Source organism: Homo sapiens, chromosome 3 (genome assembly GCF_000001405.40).
Source record: "Homo sapiens chromosome 3, GRCh38.p14 Primary Assembly".
In the NCBI taxonomy this organism is placed as follows: Eukaryota; Metazoa; Chordata; class Mammalia; order Primates; family Hominidae; genus Homo; species Homo sapiens.
Window position 1 is genome coordinate 91388577 of NC_000003.12, and position 18209 is coordinate 91406785.

Genomic DNA, 18209 nt, shown 5'->3' on the forward strand with positions numbered 1-18209 from the left:
TTTGTCCTTTTTGAAATGAAGTTATTTCTAGCAAAGCTCAGCAGAATATGAGAGTGAATAGCCTATTCTGAACACCTATTAGGAACATCATCCTATCTTTCGTAAATACAATTTGCTTTCCAATTCTACTTCATGTAATCTCTTCAGAGCGGTGCAAACTCCCATCCTTATCAGCAGACTGCAATGCCAGTTGAAATTTGTAAAGTTTCATTGCTTCCCCCAAGCCCTCAAATAAATAAAACACATATTTGGCCTATTTATCAAATGCAGTAAAATGCTGGAATTAAGAGATAACCTCAAATGAATGGAAACATAATTCTGGAGAAATGTTAATTTCTATTCCTCTTTTATTTTTTAAAAGGCTGATCTTCCTGTCACAAAAAGAAATGAACATGGGGTCTCAAATTCTTGCTATCTTCATTATTGAGTATAGCTTAATGTCATTTGACAGATACACAAAAAAAATTACAGTTACAGGACAGGCATTATACAATACTGACAAGAATGTGCTTCAAAAATTGTTTTTCTCTGATTGTCTTATAGATTACATTTCTGAATTTCGTGTCACCTTTTATTTAATCATATATGAAAGACCTGTGTAAATTCCAGCCAACCACAGAGGCCAGGTTTCTGCCAGTCTGCCTATCTGGCCTGTCTACTTTTCTTGAATTATTAGAGCAAAATATGAAAAATCAGTTTGAAATGAGACTTTCTTCATTTTTAAATTTATTCTGCAAGTTTTCCAAGTAACGCTAACACTGAGTTCATGTTGTCTGATGCTCTTCACAAAGATTTTCAAATTGTGATGAGATAAACTTGCAAATAATTACTGACAAACATCTATAATCATATATTAATATCTGAGTTAGAATTTTGGAGAAGTAAAGACTTCAAACATAAATTTAAGCTTTAGATGATCCCATAAATTACCTGAAGAGGAAATGGATTCACAGAAATAAAAAAGCTCAACCATATAAAAAGTAAATATGTAACATGATATACATACATACATACAATCTAGTATGTATATGTTTGGGAAACGTGCTATAAAGAAATAATAAATCATATTAATAAAAAATTTATTTGGGTAATCCACACGTGTAAAAAACTTACTAAAGAAAACTGACATAAAAGCCACAGAATGTGAGAAAAACAGATGTATTGCAAATTTTAGGTTCAATTTTTAGGGTCCATAAAAAATTAAATTTAAATTAATCACACTACAATCTTCCCCTGACCTGACCCAACTCGCAGAGAGGGCTCTTCCTAAACAAAAATAATTTACTTTTATTTTTGTTTTATTTTATTAGGATGAATTTTTATTTAAAATCTGCTTGAAATCTATAAACAAGTCATTCAACTATGATCAGGATAGCTTAAAGAACTTTAATCATGTCCCAGCATATTTAAGATAAGTGAAGGTTTCTATAAATAAGTAAAGGTGTGATGAGAAAAAAAGGCAATAGAGGTTTTTGAGGTAAACAAGTATTATTGGTAGATACTTTTATCTTCACTTCAGAAATGAGGAAATATATTAAAATTGGAGTATCTGTCTCCTGAGGGTGAGGGCCATTAACCGCAGAAAGAATTTTAAAAATCACATACAAATTAATAATCTTTCTTTTAAAGGAAGATAACTTACATGCTTTTAAAATTAAGGTAGAAAATATAAAACATTACTCCAAAAAATCCAACTAATGAATATATAGTTTCATTTCAGATTATGATCTATATTACAGAGATATAGGAAAAGAAAAGATGGACCAAGGAATGAAGTTTGACTTTTTCTCTGAGTAAAATGGGGAGATAATACAATATTCTATGTGCAGGACTAAAGTGAACTGACATTTACAGAGGGATCATTTTTGCCTGCTGTGCTGGGAACAGATTGGAAAGGACAGAGGTAGAAACAGGGAGCTCATTACACGAATTCAGGGAATAGATGGTAGATCCATGGACCACGGTGGCAATATCAGTGGCGATGGTAAGTGGTCAGATTTGGAGACAGGAGCATTTCCCACTTAATGGCTATAAAATATTTCTAAAATCAGATGTTCTCCATGAAAACACTCAAGAGGAACCTGTCCTCCAATGTCTTAAAATAATGCATGAGCTACCACTCAACCCCTTCCCCTGCCAACTGATTTCCTAAATAACTAGTTCTAAAACTCGGGAAAATGCCAATATGAAAAACAAACCTATCATATAAAATAAATGTAAAATACCCAAAATATCACGTAGTAGCCACTAAACAATATGATTAACAAACAGATATTTTCTGTGTAGAAACAGGAGTATGATACCTCTTGTCTCTTAGAGTTAGGACTTCTTAGATGCACACTTTGCTGACGTCAAAATCTTCCCAAGTGATTCTGATGTTCTAGAATTTGTATATGGACTGCAACCTGAGACTTCTTCTGCACTTTGTTTTGTTAAATTTTTCCAATATGAACATCACCACTAAGCACTGTATTAAGATATTCTGCAGGTCACTCTATTTTGATGTTGATACTAATATAACTTGCTGAGGGGGTTTGATGACTCCAAGGCAGGAAATACAAACTAAAAATCAGGTGAAGGAAATGAAGCATTAAGGTATGACCAAGACACTAAAATTCAACTTATGATATAGGATCAAAATTAAAAACCTGGCAAACACCAAAATCCAAGAACAGATGCCTAAGGTACACTGCGTGAAACAGAACTTAGGGTCAAATTTCCACAAGATACTTATACACCATGGAGTACTATGCAGCCACAAAAAAAGAACAAAATCATGTCCTTTATGGCAACACAGATGCAGCTGAAGGCCATTATCCTAAGCAAATTAATGCAGAAAGAAAATCAAATACCACATGTTCTCACTTAAAGTGGGAGCTAAACATTGGTTATACATGGACACAAAAAAGGCAACAATAAACACTGGGGATTCTAAAACTGGGGGGAGGGAGACAAGAGTTGAAAAACTACCTATCAGGTACTATGTTCACTACTTGGGCAATGGGATCATTAGAAGCCCAAGCCTCAGCATCATGCAATATACCCATATAATAAACCTGCACATGTGCCCCCCTGAATCTAAAATAAAAATTTTAAAAAACGTATTAAAAAACTGAAATACTCCACAAAGTAATGAAGGTGTTGTTAGGCAAGAGTACTTTTTGCCTGTGTTTGTTTCTGCAGCATAGCTTCTGAAAGCCCAGACCTCCATCCTCACAAGCTGGTCTTGGCTCCTAAAAAGATAGCTTCCCAAGATGGCAGGCCAGGACTGCCCAGAGTGAGGGTCAGAAATAGAATAGGTCAGGAAAACACATACTACATAGAGGTGGAAACCCATCAAGAGGAAGAAATATAATGAAGAGACAAAAAACAAGAATAGGAAGAAAAATGTGGAAAGCCAGAGAAATGGGATAAGTAAATGGAGTCCATGGCTTGCTATTTATGTGGTTTGCAAGCATCAAAGTCTAACCCACAGCTCACAAAAGATGTTTCAATGAGCATTGACAGTAACTCTCCAGTTTTCATGTTCCATTCTGAAAGAACCAGAGCACCTTATGAGGTCCTCTTGCATATTGCAATAATACCAAAGAACAGTTTTCCAAAGGTCAGAGGAAACCAAATCAAGGGTCCATTCTGATGGTGGGGCCAGAAGTTTCCTAAATCTGTTTTAGAAAAATATCAAACAATTTGAACAATCATATCAAAGACATTTAAAAACACAATTTTTATTTGAAGAAAAAACTCATATAAAGATCTAAGAATATTATACAAATGGCAATATGACTTAGTTTTTAATGCCAGTATTTCCAGATAAAGTACAAAATGTCAAGTGTAACAATCCACTTACTGTTCTAATCCAGTTCATCAGTAATCAAAAGGCTAAGAAAAAGTGAGTAGTGGATGGGCACGGTGGCTCACGCCTGTAATCCCAGCACTTTGGGAGTCCAAGGCAGGTGGATCATGAGGTCAGGAGTTCAAGACCAGCCTGGCCAACATGGGGAAACCCCATGTCTACTAAAAATGCAAAAATTAGCTGGGTGTGGTGGTGCGTGTCTGTAATCCCAGCTACTCAGGAGGCTGAGGCAGGAGAATCGCTTGAACCCAGGATGTGGAGGTTACAGTGAGCCAAGATTGCAACACTACACTCCAGCCTGAGTGACAGAGCAAGACTGTCTCAGAAAAAAACAAAACAAAGAAAGAAAAAGTGAGTTCCATTGATCTATATCTCTGTTTTGCTACCAGTACCATGCTGTTTTGGTTACTGTAGCCTTGTAGTATAGTTTGAAGTCAGGTAGTGTGATGCCTCCAGCTTTGTTCTTTTGGCTTAGGATTGACTTGGTGATGCGGGCTCTTTTTTGGTTCCATATGAACTTTAAAGTAGTTTTTTCCAATTCTGTGAAGAAAGTCATTGGTAGCTTGATGGGGATGGCATTGAATCTGTAAATTACCTTGGGCAGTATGGCCATTTTCACGATATTGATTCTTCCTACCCACGAGCATGGAATGTTCTTCCATTTGTTTGTATCCTCTTTTATTTCCTTGAGCAGTGGTTTGTAGTTCTCCTTGAAGAGGTCCTTCACATCCCTTGTAAGTTGGATTCCTAGGTATTTTATTCTCTTTGAAGCAATTGTGAATGGGAGTTCACTCATGATTTGGCTCTCTGTTTGTCTGTTGTTGGTGTATAAGAATGCTTGTGATTTTTGTACATTGATTTTGTATCCTGAGACTTTGCTGAAGTTGCTTATCAGCTTAAGGAGATTTTGGGCTGAGACAGTGGGGTTTTCTAGATAAACAATCATGTCGTCTGCAAACAGGGACAATTTGACTTCCTCTTTTCCTAACTGAATACCCTTTATTTCCTTCTCCTGCCTGATTGCCCCGGCCAGAACTACCAACACTGTGTGGAATAGGAGTGGTGAGAGAGGGCATCCCTGTCTTGTGCCAGTTTTCAAAGGGAATGCTTCCAGTTTTTGCCCATTCAGTATGATATTGGCTGTGGGTTTGTCATAGATAGCTCTTATGATTTTGAAATACGTCCCATCAATACCTAATTTCTTGAGAGTTTTTAGCATGAAGGGTTGTTGAATTTTGTCAAAGGCTTTTTCTGCATCTATTGAGATAATCATGTGGTTTTTGTCTTTGGCTCTGTTTATATGCTGGATTACATTTATTGATTTGCATATATTGAACCAGCCTTGCATCCCAGGGATGAAGCCCACTTGATCATGGTGGATAAGCTTTTTGATGTGCTGCTGGATTCGGTTTGCCAGTATTTTATTGAGGATTTTTGCATCAATGTTCATCAAGGTAATGTGTCTAAAATTCTCTTTTTTGGTTGTGTCTCTGCCCAGCTTTGGTATCAGAATGATGCTGGCCTCATAAAATGAGTTAGGGAGGATTCCCTCTTTTTCTATTGATTGGAGAGCCCTCAGAAATAACGCCGCATACCTACAATTATCTGATCTTTGACAAACCTGAGAAAAACAAGCAATGGGGAAAGGATTCCCTATTTAATAAATGGTGCTGGGAAAACTGGCTAGCCATATGTAGAAAGCTGAAACTGGATCCCTTCCTTACACCTTATACAAAAATCAATTCAAGATGGATTAAAGATTTAAACGTTAGACCTAAAACCATAAAAATCCTAGAAGAAAACCTAGGCATTACCATTCAGGACATAGGCGTGGGCAAGGACTTCATGTCCAAAACACCAAAAGCAATGGCAACAAAAGACAAAATTGACAAATGGGATCTAATTAAACTAAAGAGCTTCTGCACAGCAAAAGAATCTACCATCAGAGTGAACAGGCAACCTAAAACATGGGAGAAAATTTTTGCAACCTACTCATCTGACAAAGGGCTAATATCCAGAATCTACAATGAACTCAAACAAATTTACAAGAAAAAAACAAACAACCCCATCAAAAAGTGGGCGAAGGACATGAACAGACACTTCTCAAAAGAAGACATTTATGCAGCCAAAAAATACATGAAAAAATGCTCATCATCACTGGCCATCAGAGAAATGCAAATCAAAACCACTATGAGATATCATCTCACACCAGTTAGAATGGCAATCATTAAAAAGTCAGGAAACAACAGGTGCTGGAGAGGATGTGGAGAAATAGGAACACTCTTACACTGTTGGTGGGACTGTAAACTAGTTCAACCATTGTGGAAGTCAGTGTGGCGATTCCTCAGGGATCTAGAACTAGAAATACCATTTGATCCAGCCATCCCATTACTGGGTATATACCCAAATGACTATAAATCATGCTGCTATAAAGACACATGCACACGTATGTTTATTGCGGCATTATTCACAATAGCAAAGACTTGGAACCAACCCAAATGTCCAACAATGATAGACTGGATTAAGAAAATGTCTCACATATACACCATGGAATACTATGCAGCCATAAAAAATGATGAGTTCATGTCCTTTGTAGGGACATGGATGAAATTGGAAACCATCATTCTCAGTAAACTATCGCAAGAACAAAAAACCAAACACTGCATATTCTCACTCATAGGTGGGAACTGAACAATGAGATCACATGGGCACAGGAAGGGGAATATCACACTCTGGGGACTGTGGTGGGGTGGGAGGAGGGGGGAGGGATAGCATTGGGAGATATACCTAATGCTAGATGACGAGTTAGTGGGTGCAGCGCACCAGCATGGCACATGTATACATATGTAACTAACCTGCACAATGTGCACATGTACCCTAAAACTTAAAGTATTAAAAAAAAAAAAAAAACCACAAAAAAAAAAAAAAAAAAGATTTGTCCCATTTACAACTATGATGATTAAGGGAGCTAATGTTTGTATAAATGCTTAAGTACAATAGAACCATAATTTATTGTAAAATTACATAATAAAGATAATGAGGTCCCTGAATGTGAAAAGAAAAAAAAGAAAGAAAGAAAAAGTGAGTAGTAGTGACATCAAACTACCATATTTTGGTAATTCGTATTTTTAAACTCTATATATTTTTAAACTTTTTTTTTTTTTTTTTTTTTTTCTGGAGACAGAGTCTCACTCTGTCACCCAGGCTAGAGGGCAGTGGTGCAATCTCGGCTCACTACAACCTCCACCTCCCGGGTTCAAGTGATTCTCCTGCCTCAGCTCTCAAGTAGCCAGGATTAGAGATGCACACCATAACACCCAGCTAATTTTTGAATTTTTAATAGAGATGGGGTTTTGCCATGTTGGCCAGACTGTTCTTAAACTCCTGGCCTCAAGCAACCTACCAGCCTCGGTCTCCAAAAGTGCTAGGATTAGAGGTGTGAGCCACCATGCCTGGCCTCTCTTTATTTTTAACTATTCTCTATCAGTTGAATAAAGTCCACCAGTAAGAATATTACGGATTTTAAAAATAGGCTGAGTGTGGTGGCTCACACCTGTAATCCCAGCACTTTGGGAGGCCAGGGCAGGTGGATTGCTTAAGTCCAGGAGTTCAAGACCAGCCTAGGCAACACGGAGAAACCCTGTCTCTAATAAAAATATGAAAAATTAGCCAGGCATGGTGGCACATGCCTGTAGTCCCTGCTACTTGGGGTGTTGAGGCGGGAGCTTCGCTTGAGTAGGGGAGGTCGAGGCTGCAGTGAGTCCTGACCATGCCACTGCACTCCAGCCTGGGTGACAGAATGAGACACTGTCTTAAAAAAAAAAAAAAAAAAAAAAGCAATGCAGTTTTCATCTTCACAAAAAGTTCATATTTGTATTTGCTAAGTTTGCTAAAAGCATTAATTATACTTCATCTACTATTTCATCCTCAAGATGAATTACTGATTTTTTTTTTCTGTAAGAGAATTCTAGTAAAGCACCTCACCAAAGACATCTTTGCAGTTGAGGAGCAAAAAGCAAATAAGGTGATATTTTTCTGATTTAATCAGTGATGGAACATAGATGATACAGAACACTGGTGGGAAATGCTATAGGTATGTCTATTTATAACACACACATATACAAAAATAGAACTCTCCTCTTTTTATACACACACAACATTTTATAACTTTGAGCCACACTTCCTCCCTCTTGCTAATTCTCTTAATATTTCTAGCCAGCTGCAAATTCCTCTCTCTCTTTTGCTTCAATGCCTGCCAACGAGGTTCAGATGATTACCTGGCAGCAGAATGCAGCCACCTGCCCATCTTTGGCTTTGGTGAGCAGAGCGCTGTACAGCTAGGTACGCTGCACTCACCAATTAGATATGTGGCTAATCTAATTCAAGGTCAAGTTTTGTCTTATTTGAAAGTGATAACAAGCTTGCTTCTTCCTAAAAAACTCAATCTTTCAAAACTAGACTGGGCTGATATTTTTCCACTCCATTTCTAACCTTCCCATATTTCAAAGGTGAAAGAAAAATGTGGTGGAGATGCCAAGTCTTGCACATTTTTGAACATACGACTTTGCTCCCATTTCTCACACACTCAGCACAGCTTAGCCTGCTGCTGCCTTGCTGTGACCTTCACTTACTGGCAGATCAGGGCCAAGTTTCCCTCTCTTGAAGATGTACTTTCATTTCTTTAAAACATTATATGTCAAGAATTTTTCTGACTCTTTATTATCTATAAACAAAGTTATCTGAGTCAATTCTACCTCCAAATGTCATTAAAATCTACCCTTTTCTCTCCATTTTTGAAGTCTTTATCATTCTCTTTTTTATTGGAAAGCTTCTTGATTTATACTTTCTTCACTCAAGATAGCTGCCACATTGCCACAAGAGTACCTTTTCTAAAGGCCAAATCTAATCCTGGCATGGCTGGGGCACAAACTTTTCATCATGATTCAAAGGCTCCTACCCTGTCCTACCTGGCCACTGGATCCTCATACTCTGGTCCAGCTTCTCCTGCAATGTGCTCTTTGGAACTTTAGCTCACAAAATCCTAGTGATGATCGGGGGTTTTCTTGTCTAATAACTTGTTTAACTGGCTTTAATCCACAATTACCTAAGTTTCTTCACGGCAGAACTTAATAGGGTAACGTTTCTCAAACTAATTTGTCCCCAGAATCCATTTTTCATAGATCTCTCAGGACTAGGGTTCCTCAAAACACACCAAACAACCTTATTTAAATTAATAGAGTCACCTCCACAAGTCTCATTCTTCTCTCTTATCCTGCCATAGTTTTATTTCACTACACTTACTTGTTTATCTGCGATATATGGTTTGGCTCTATCCTCACCCAAATCTCATCTTGAACTGTAGCTCCCATAATTCCCACATGTCATGGGAGGGACCTGGTGGGAGATAATTGAATCATGTGGGCAGTTTCCCCCATACTGTTCGCGTGGTAGTGAGTAAGTCTCACGAGATCTGATGATGGTTTTGTAGGGGAAACCCCTTTCACTTGGATCTCATTGTCTCTCTTGTCTGCTGCTATGTAAGACGTGCCTCTCACCTTCCACCATGATTGTGAGGGCTCCTATGCCACATGGAACTGTGAGTCCATTAAACCTTTTTTTCCTTATAAAGTACCAAGTCTTGGGCATGTCTTTATCAGCAGCATGAAAACAGACTAATACAGTCTGTCTCCCCACTGGAATATCAGCTCCATGAAGGTAGAAGTCTCACTAGTTTTAGTCATCATTATATTCCCAATGTCTTGAACAGTAAATGGAATACAATCCTCACGCAATTATTATTTGTTGATGTTGAATGAATGCTGCTCCTTTTGCCTAATCTGCCTTACATCAGGCACAGGGGAAACTCCTACTCAACTTTCAAACCCAATTAAAATGTCACTTCTTATATGAAGCATTCTCTTCTGCTCCCTCTTCAACAGAAGATCTTTCCCCTCTGGCACTTTGAATATATTTTTATAAAAGCATTTAGCATACTTTATAATAGTTAATTATTAAAGCACTTATCATACTCTATTGTAGTTAGGTACCAATAAAAGGATTGTTGAGAAGCAATTTAAACTGCTACCCAAAATACTGATTTTCTTAGTGCACATTAATACCAACATTTTGGATTAAAGAATTTAAGCTCTTAGGGAACATTAACAACTAAGTAAACTTAGAAAGCAAGGAGGGAAGGAAAGAGAAGGAAGAAGAGAGGAAAGATAATGAGGGGGAAGGTAGGACAAACGAGAAGACACATGTAAAGCCTGCTTAGAGATACGGAGAAATGTATTGTCAAACCTCAGTTCCATGGTTCAGTTACTAATTATTACTGTGCTTTGAGTATTCTATTTTTTGGCCTAATATAAAAGCAAGCCAATTCAGAATCACTATGCTCTATGATCTTTATGAAAATAATGAAAGATATTTATACTGATTATATAATTACTTTAGAAGATTATGCTTATTAAAAGATGTATCATGTACTAATTTAATAATTACTTTAGATTGTTTATTAAAAGATGTATCATATCTCCTGGATATGCTATTGAAAACAGAAGCTAATGTTAAAATCTGTCACTTAAGAATTAAGAAGTAAAAATAATCATATAAATTCAGAGATAGAAACTTTAACAAGAAATACATTGCAAATTGATGGTAAACACCACCAAGAAGAATGAAATGACTTAAAGCTACCCAGTCTAAAAATCTAAACTACTTGCTTTATGAAATAAATTTACTTAACCTTCTGGGTACCTTAAGCTTACTTCTTCAAAAGAAGCTGGGATGCCTCTGGGAGTATACTCTATAAAACTGATCAAGAAATAGAACTAAGTTAGAATAGTTTTATGACTATAGGTAGTTAGGTTTGACTTTACAAAAATATCCTAAGTGACAGTATCATATGTGACTGAATAAAATTCTTCCATAGGTATCAGTAGTTTTTCATGTAATGAATACATAATAAATATAGAAAGATGTGTAACTATATGAACAGAGTATTAAATTTTAAGAAAGGATGTTTTCCATTTGAATGCAATTTTAATGAATATAAGTTTTAATTAATAGGCTTAGCTAACAATGACATATGTTACTTGACTTTCAAAGTGATTTTTCTTTGAACCACCTTGAACATTAAATCTTCAAGCAACCATTTATCTTCAGCCTATAAGAAAGGAAGGATATACACAGAAATCAAGTATTAAAGCCAAAAGTACAACCATGGCCTGGTGACACCAATTCTAATGCTCAACTTCCCATCTTTTCCTTAATGCAGTTCTGAGTTTTACCAAGAACGTTACACATCTTCAACTACAACACTAAGAAAAGCAAAGCTAAGTGCAGCAATCAAACTACCGTTCTCAAAAATCAGAAGAGATACTCCTGAAGACGAAATAGATACAAAAGCTCCCCTTAAAAGCAGTTACTTTCCATAAAGTAATAGACAGCCTGAATACTATCATCCACTGGTAAGTCCCCCTTACCTAAGAAAATCATAGGAGTTTTTAGGTAGCTCAGATTTTTAGGAACATTAAATAAAGAGTCATTGAAATTTATCTTTATCATAAAAACTTCTTGACAAAGAGTTACTTTTAAGTCTTTTAAACTGTCCCCTTTGAAAGATTTCTTCATTAAAAGGCATTTGCCAGTTTTAGATTTAATATAGTCACTAACTTCTTGAGAATTTTTGACTGTGAAAAACAGAGGTTAACCAACCTCTCAAAAAGCAATAAGAGCATACATTTTTTCATATTTCATGGCTTTAATTCACTCTTAAGTTTCTTAGAAGCACCAATTAGATTTGTTTTAAAAATCATTAATAGTTGAGTGAAAATTCTAAAACACATTTCCTTCCTCTATTAAAAAAACTAAAATGAGAAATAAAAAGACAGTTTTAAAAACATTAGTGCAGAAATACATTTGTAAATAATGTATCATTTCAATCAAAATCTTGAAAAATGAATAGCCTTATGTATACTTACTTATGGGCCAACATGTAAAAGTAAGTATTGGTTGTAATAGGTCTAACACAATTGTACAGCAGAAGCAAACATTAAAATACACTGTAGAAACAGAACCTAATCACTCGAATACTCAACATTCTCAAGTGCTCGACACTTAAAGCAGTGCTCTCAACAGAAATATGACATATCTGTAATTTTAGATTTTCTATAACCACAATTAAAACAGTAAAAATAAGCAATTATTTTCAGTAATATATTTTATTCAAAGCAATATATCTAAAATATTGTCATTTCAAAATGTAATCAATATAAAATATTACTGAGATATTTTGTAATGCTTTTTTTTGATACTATTATTACTCTGTGAAACTTGGTGTACATTTTACTATAGCCAGTGGTATACTGGAGCTAACACAAACTGGCTGTAATCCCAGCTACTTGGGAGGCTTAGGCAGGAAAATTGCTTGAACCCAGGAGGCAGAGGTTGCAGTGAGCTGAGACCGTGCCACTGCACTCCAGCCTGGGTGACAGAGTGAGACTCCATCTCAAAAAAGAAAGAAAGAAAACAAAAATGTCAACCAAGATTCATAAGGAAAAAGTAAGACATTCCCAGATAAACAAATGCTGAGGGAGTCTGTTGTTAGTAGACCTGCCCAACAAGAAATGCTAGAGTAAATCCTTCAGGCAGAAAGAAAAGATCACTACAAAGTAACTCAAAGCCATTCAAAAAGAATGAACACGAGCTAAGGTAACTATATAGGTATTAAAAATCCAGTATTATTGTGTTTTTGATTTGTAACTCTTCTTTTTTCTCAAATGATTTAAAAGACGATGCATAAAACAGTAATTATAAGTTAATGGGCACACAATGTATGAAGATGTAACTTGTGACAACAATATAAGGGGGAGGGACAGAGCTATACAGAAGTGGAGTTTTGGTATATAATAGATGCTAAGTTGATATTAAAAATTGTTATACATATAAAAGGTTACAGTCTCCAGGATAACGACTAAGCAAATAATGAGAAAAAAATACATCAAAAAAAAAAAGTGATGGGAATAAAAATGGTACTATGGTACTGTGGTCTGAATGTGTCCCCTCCAAAGTTCAGGTGCTGCAAATCTGCTAGTATTAAGAGGTGGAACCTTTAAGACATGATGAGGCCATGAGGGCTCATTCCTCATTAATAGAACTAAGGCCCTTATAAAGAAAAAAAGCAGCAGCAGCTTCAGATGGCATTTGGCTAGCTTGTTCTCTTGTCCTTCTGCAATGTGAAGATTGAACAAGAAAGTCTTCATCAGATCAGAAATAGGCTCCTCAACCTTGGACTTCTCAGCCTCTATAACTGTGAGAAATAAATTTCTTTCATTTATAAATTAGCTGGTCTGTGGTATCCTGTTACAGCAGCACAAAACAGACTAAGTACACTACCAAAAAAAAATTTAATGCAAAAGAAGGTACTAATGGAGAAACTGAGGGACAAAAAAGACATGACATCATTGAAAGCAGTGAGCAAAATGCCTGGCATGGCAGCTCCTGCCTGTAATGCTGTTGCTTTAAAGTTTGTTTCATCTGATATAAGAACAGCTACCCCTGCTTGCTTTCAGTGTCCATTTGCATGAAATGCCTTTTCCACACTTTACTTTAAGTTTATGTGAGTCTTTATGTGTTAGGTTAGTCTCCTGAAGGCAGCAGATTGTTGGTTGATGAGTTCTTATGCATTCTGCAGTTCTGTACCTTTTAAGTGGAGCATTTAGGCCATTTACATTCAATGTTAGTATTGAAATGTGAGGTACCTTTGCATTCATCATGCTCTTGGTTGCCTGCATACTTTGGTTTTTTGTTTTTGTTTTTTAACTTGTATTTTTATTTTACAGGTCCTGTGAGATTTATGCTTTAAAGATATTCTGTTTTGATGTGTTTCCTGGATTTGTTTCAAGATTTAGAGCTCCTTTTAGCAGTTCTTCTAGTGGTGGCTTAGTAATGTCGAATTCTCTCAGCATTTGTTTGTCTGAAAACGACTGTTATCTTTCCTTCATATGTGGTGCTTAGTTTCACTGGATACAAAATTCTTGGCTGATGTTTGTTTTGTTTGAGGAGGCTGTAGATAGGGCCCTAATCCCTTCTAGCTTGTAGGGTTTCTGCTGAGAAATCTGTTGTTAATCTGTTAGGTTTTCCTTTATAGGTTACCTGGTGCTTCTGTCTCACAGCTCTTAAGATTCGTTCTTTCATCTCAACTTTGGATAACCTGATGACAATGTGCCTAGGCGAAGATCTTTTTGTAATGAATTTCTTGGGTGTTCTTTGTTTTTTTTTTTTGATGGAGTCTCACTCTGTCACCCAAGTTGGAGTGTAGTGGCATGATCTTGGCTCACTGCAACCTCAGCCTCCCAGGTTCAAGTGATTCTCCTGCCTCAGCCTCCCAAGTAGCTGGGACTACCGGTGTGTGCCACCACGCCCAGCTAATTTTTTGCATTTTTAGTAGAGATGGGGTTTCACTGTGTTAGCCAGAATGGTCTCAATCTCCTGACCTCATGATCCACCTGCCTCAGCCTCCCAAAGTGCTGGGATTACAGGTGTGAGCCACCGCACCTGGCCCTGTGCTTCTTATATTTGCATGTCTAGGTCTCTAGCAAGGCTGGGGAAGTTTTCCTCAATTATTCCCCCAAATATGTTTTCCAAGCTTTTAGAATTATCTTCTTCCTCAGGAATACCAATTATTCTTAGGTTTGGTAGTTTAACATAATCTCAAACTTCTTAGGGGCTTTGTTCATATTTTCTTATTCTTTTTTCTTTGTCTTTGTTGGATTGGGTTAATTCGAACACCTTGTCTTCAAGCTCTGAATTTCTTTCTTCTACTTGTTCAATTCTATTGCTGAGACTTTCCAGAGCATTTTGCATTTCTAAAAGTGTATCCAAAGTTTCCTGAATTTTGTATTGTTTTTTCTTTTAGCTATCTATTTCATTGAATCTTTCTCTCTTCACTTCCTGTGTCACTTTTTGAATTTCCTTGCACTGGGCTTTGCCTTTCCCTGGTTCTCCCTGATTAGCTTAATAACTAACCTATCGAATTCCTTTTTCAGTTATATCAGGGATTTCTTCTTGGTTTGGATCAATTGCTGGTGAACTAGTATGATTTTTAGGGGGTGTTGATGAGCCTTGTTTTGTCATTTTACCAGGGGTGGTTTTCTGGTTCCATCACGTTTGGGTAGGCTCTGTCAGAGGGAAGGTCTAGGGCTGAATGCTGTTGTTCAGATTCTAGTGCACAGGGTGTTCCCTTGATGTAGTACTCTCCATTTTTCCTGTGGTTGTGGCTTTCTGTGAGCCGAACTGCAATGATTGTTGTCTCTCTTCTGGGTTTAACCATCCAGTGAGTCTACCTGGCACCATGCTAGTACTGGGGGTTTCTGCACAGTCCTGTGATGTGAACCATCTATGGGTCTCTCAACCATGGATACCAGCGCCTGTTCCGTTGGAGGCGGCAGAAGGTGCAATGAACTCTATGACGGTTCTTAGTTTTGGTTATTTAATGTTCTATTTTTGTGCTGGTTGGCCTCCTGCCAAGAGGTGGCGCTTTCCAGAGAGCATCAGCAGTAGCAGTGCAGAGGGATCAGCAGTGGGTGGGGCCCTAGAATTCCCAAGATTATATGTCCTTTGTCTTCTGCTACCTGGGTGGGTAGGGAAGGACTGTCAGGTGGGGGGCGGGGCTAGGCATGTCTGAGCTCAGACTCTCCTTGGGTGGGTCTTGCTGCGGCTGCTGTGGGGGACGGGGTGAGATTCCCAGGTCACTGGAGTTGTGCACCTAGGAGGATTATGGCTGCCTCTGCTGAGTCATGCAGGTTGTCAAGGAAGTGAGGGAAAGCCAGCAGTCACAGGCCTCACCCAGCTCCCATGCAAACTGAAGGGTTGATCTCACTCCCACCATGCCCCCCACAACAGCCCCAGATCTGTTTCCAGGTGGAAGGTGGGCTTGAAAACTTGCCCGAGGCTTTCACCTCCCAGAGTATTTGGGGTGTCTCCTGGGTCCTGCAGGAGCAGTCCGCTTCCTTCAGAGAGTCTGAGGGTCCTCTCAGGATTGCTGGTTTGTTCTTGCAGTCGATCTGGAGCTAAAATTCACAATTTGAGCCTCCACATGCTGCTCTGTCAGGAGTTGCAATCTAGTCCTGCCTCCCATCTGCCATGATCCCTCTTTATACACAATCTACAGATTCAGTGCAATCCGTATCAAAGTTCTAATGGCTGTTTTTGCAGAAATAAAAAAGTTGATCCTCAAATTCATATGGAATTGCAAGGAGCTCCAGATAGCCAAAATAATATTGAAAAAGAACAAAATTGGAAGATTCCATGCTTCCTGATTTCAAAACTCAATACAAGGTACAGAAATCAAAACAGTGTGGTACTGGCTGGCATAAGGACAGACATATAGACCAATACAGTAGAAATTGAGATTCCAGAAATTATCCCATACATCTATGTCCAATTGAGTTTTGACAAGGGTGCAAGACCATCAATGGGGAAATTGTCTCTTCAAGAAATAGTGTTAGAAAACTGGATATTCACAAGCAAAAGAATGAAGATAAACCCCTACATCATACCATCTACAAAAATTAATTCAAAAGGGACCAATGACCTAAATATAAAAGCTAGAGCTATAATACTTTTATACAAGGCCATAGATGTCAATATTCACAACCTTGAATTTGAATATAGATAATTATGACACTAAAAGTACAAGTAACAAAAGAAAACAAAGTTCATCAAAATTAAAATCTTTTGTCCACCGATAGACATTAAGAAGTTGTTGACAAGAAAATCTACAGAATAGGAGAACATATTTGCAAATCATGTATCTATCTGATAAGAGTCTTGTATCCAAAATATATTAAGAACTCTTAAACTCAACAAAAAGACAACCCAATTCAAAAATAGACAAAGGAATTGGATAGACATTTCTTCAAAGAAGATGTACAAATGGCCAAAAAGCATATAAAAAGATGTTCAACATCATTATTCATTAGAAAAATGCAAATCAAAACCACAATGAGATATCACTGCATACTTAAAAGGATGGTGTTATGAAATGAATTGTGTCCCTCAAATAAAGATATGTTGAAGTCCTAACTCCCACTACTTAAAAATGTGATCTTATTTGGAAATAGGGTATTTACAGAGGTAATCAAAATGAGGTCATTAAGGTAAGCCCTAATCCAATATTACTGGTGTCCTCCTAAAAAGAGGAAACTAGACAAAGAATGCACAGAGCAAAGATGGTGAGAAGACGTACAGGGAGGAAGCCATGTGAAAATAAAGATAGAGTTTGGAGTGATGCATCTACAAGTCAAAGATTGCCAACAAACCACCAGAAGCTGGGGAAAACGTGGGAACAGATTCTCCCTCACAGCTCTCAGAAGGAACTAACCTGCCAGCACCTTGACTGCTGGCTTCCAAAACTGTGAGATAAATTTTTAAAGTCACCCAGTTGGTGGAAACAACCCGGTGTCCATCAAAGGACGAATGGATAAACAAAATGTGGTACAGACATACAATGGAGTATCATTCAGCCATTCAAAAGAACAAAACACAAATGAACTTTGTAAAAATGCTATATGAAGTAAGCCAGACAGTGTATGATGCTATTTTATGAAATATTCAGAATAGGTAAATCCACAGAAATAGAAAGCAGATTATTAGTTTCTAGGGGCAGCAGGAGGTGATTGTTTAATAGGTATGAAGTTTTCTTTGGGGGTGATGAAAAGGTTTGGAACTTGATAGAAATAGTAGTTGTAAAATATTGTGAATGTACTAAATGCACTGAATTGTACATTTTAAAATAGTTATTTGTATGTTATGTGACTTTCACCTCAATAAAAAAAGCAATCAGATCTTTTGAAAATCTGTTACCATATATAATTTACATTTTCTGAATTATTCTCATCTTTATTTCACATTTGTCAGTGTTTCAACAATGCATTATACATTTTCTTAGGTTTAGGTACATAAGAATTACCATTCACTTCACAGTGATGGCTTTCCATGAAAGAAGAAACCAAAAAGAATTTCAACTGGATTTAAAATAGAAAAATACTACAGAGAATCAGAACAATGTATTGTAAGAAACTTCAGCTTCACTGTCAGGCATAGGTGTGAATTCTGGCCTTATCATATATTAGTTCTATGGTTCTGAGCAGTTTCTTGCCTTCTCCAAACCTCAGCTTTCTCATCTATAAAATAGGGATAATGTAGTGGTGGGAATCAAATGAGATACAGTTTATTTGTGTAAAGCCTCCATCACAATGCTTTGCATAAGCAGGCCAAAAATAAAACAAACTACCATGGCTTCAAATTGTTCTATTTCCAGAGACAGATCAAGCACACCCCTCATTACTACATA

The 18209-nt window shown here is 37.2% G+C and overlaps 1 pseudogene across 1 annotated transcript in view, besides 1 other annotated feature; it reads right to left on the reverse strand.

Moving 5' to 3' along the window:
- LOC101930420 (DNA primase large subunit-like) overlaps positions 1-18209 on the reverse strand; it is a 139540-nt pseudogene that overhangs the window by 14341 nt on the left and 106990 nt on the right. The gene's annotated exons all lie outside the window — the stretch shown is intronic.
- Positions 1-18209: part of a centromere (Linear centromere model derived predominantly from reads generated in PMID: 17803354. This region does not represent an actual centromere sequence, as long-range ordering of repeats and unmapped WGS contigs is not provided by the model. For details of model production, see http://arxiv.org/abs/1307.0035.) that runs on past both edges of the window.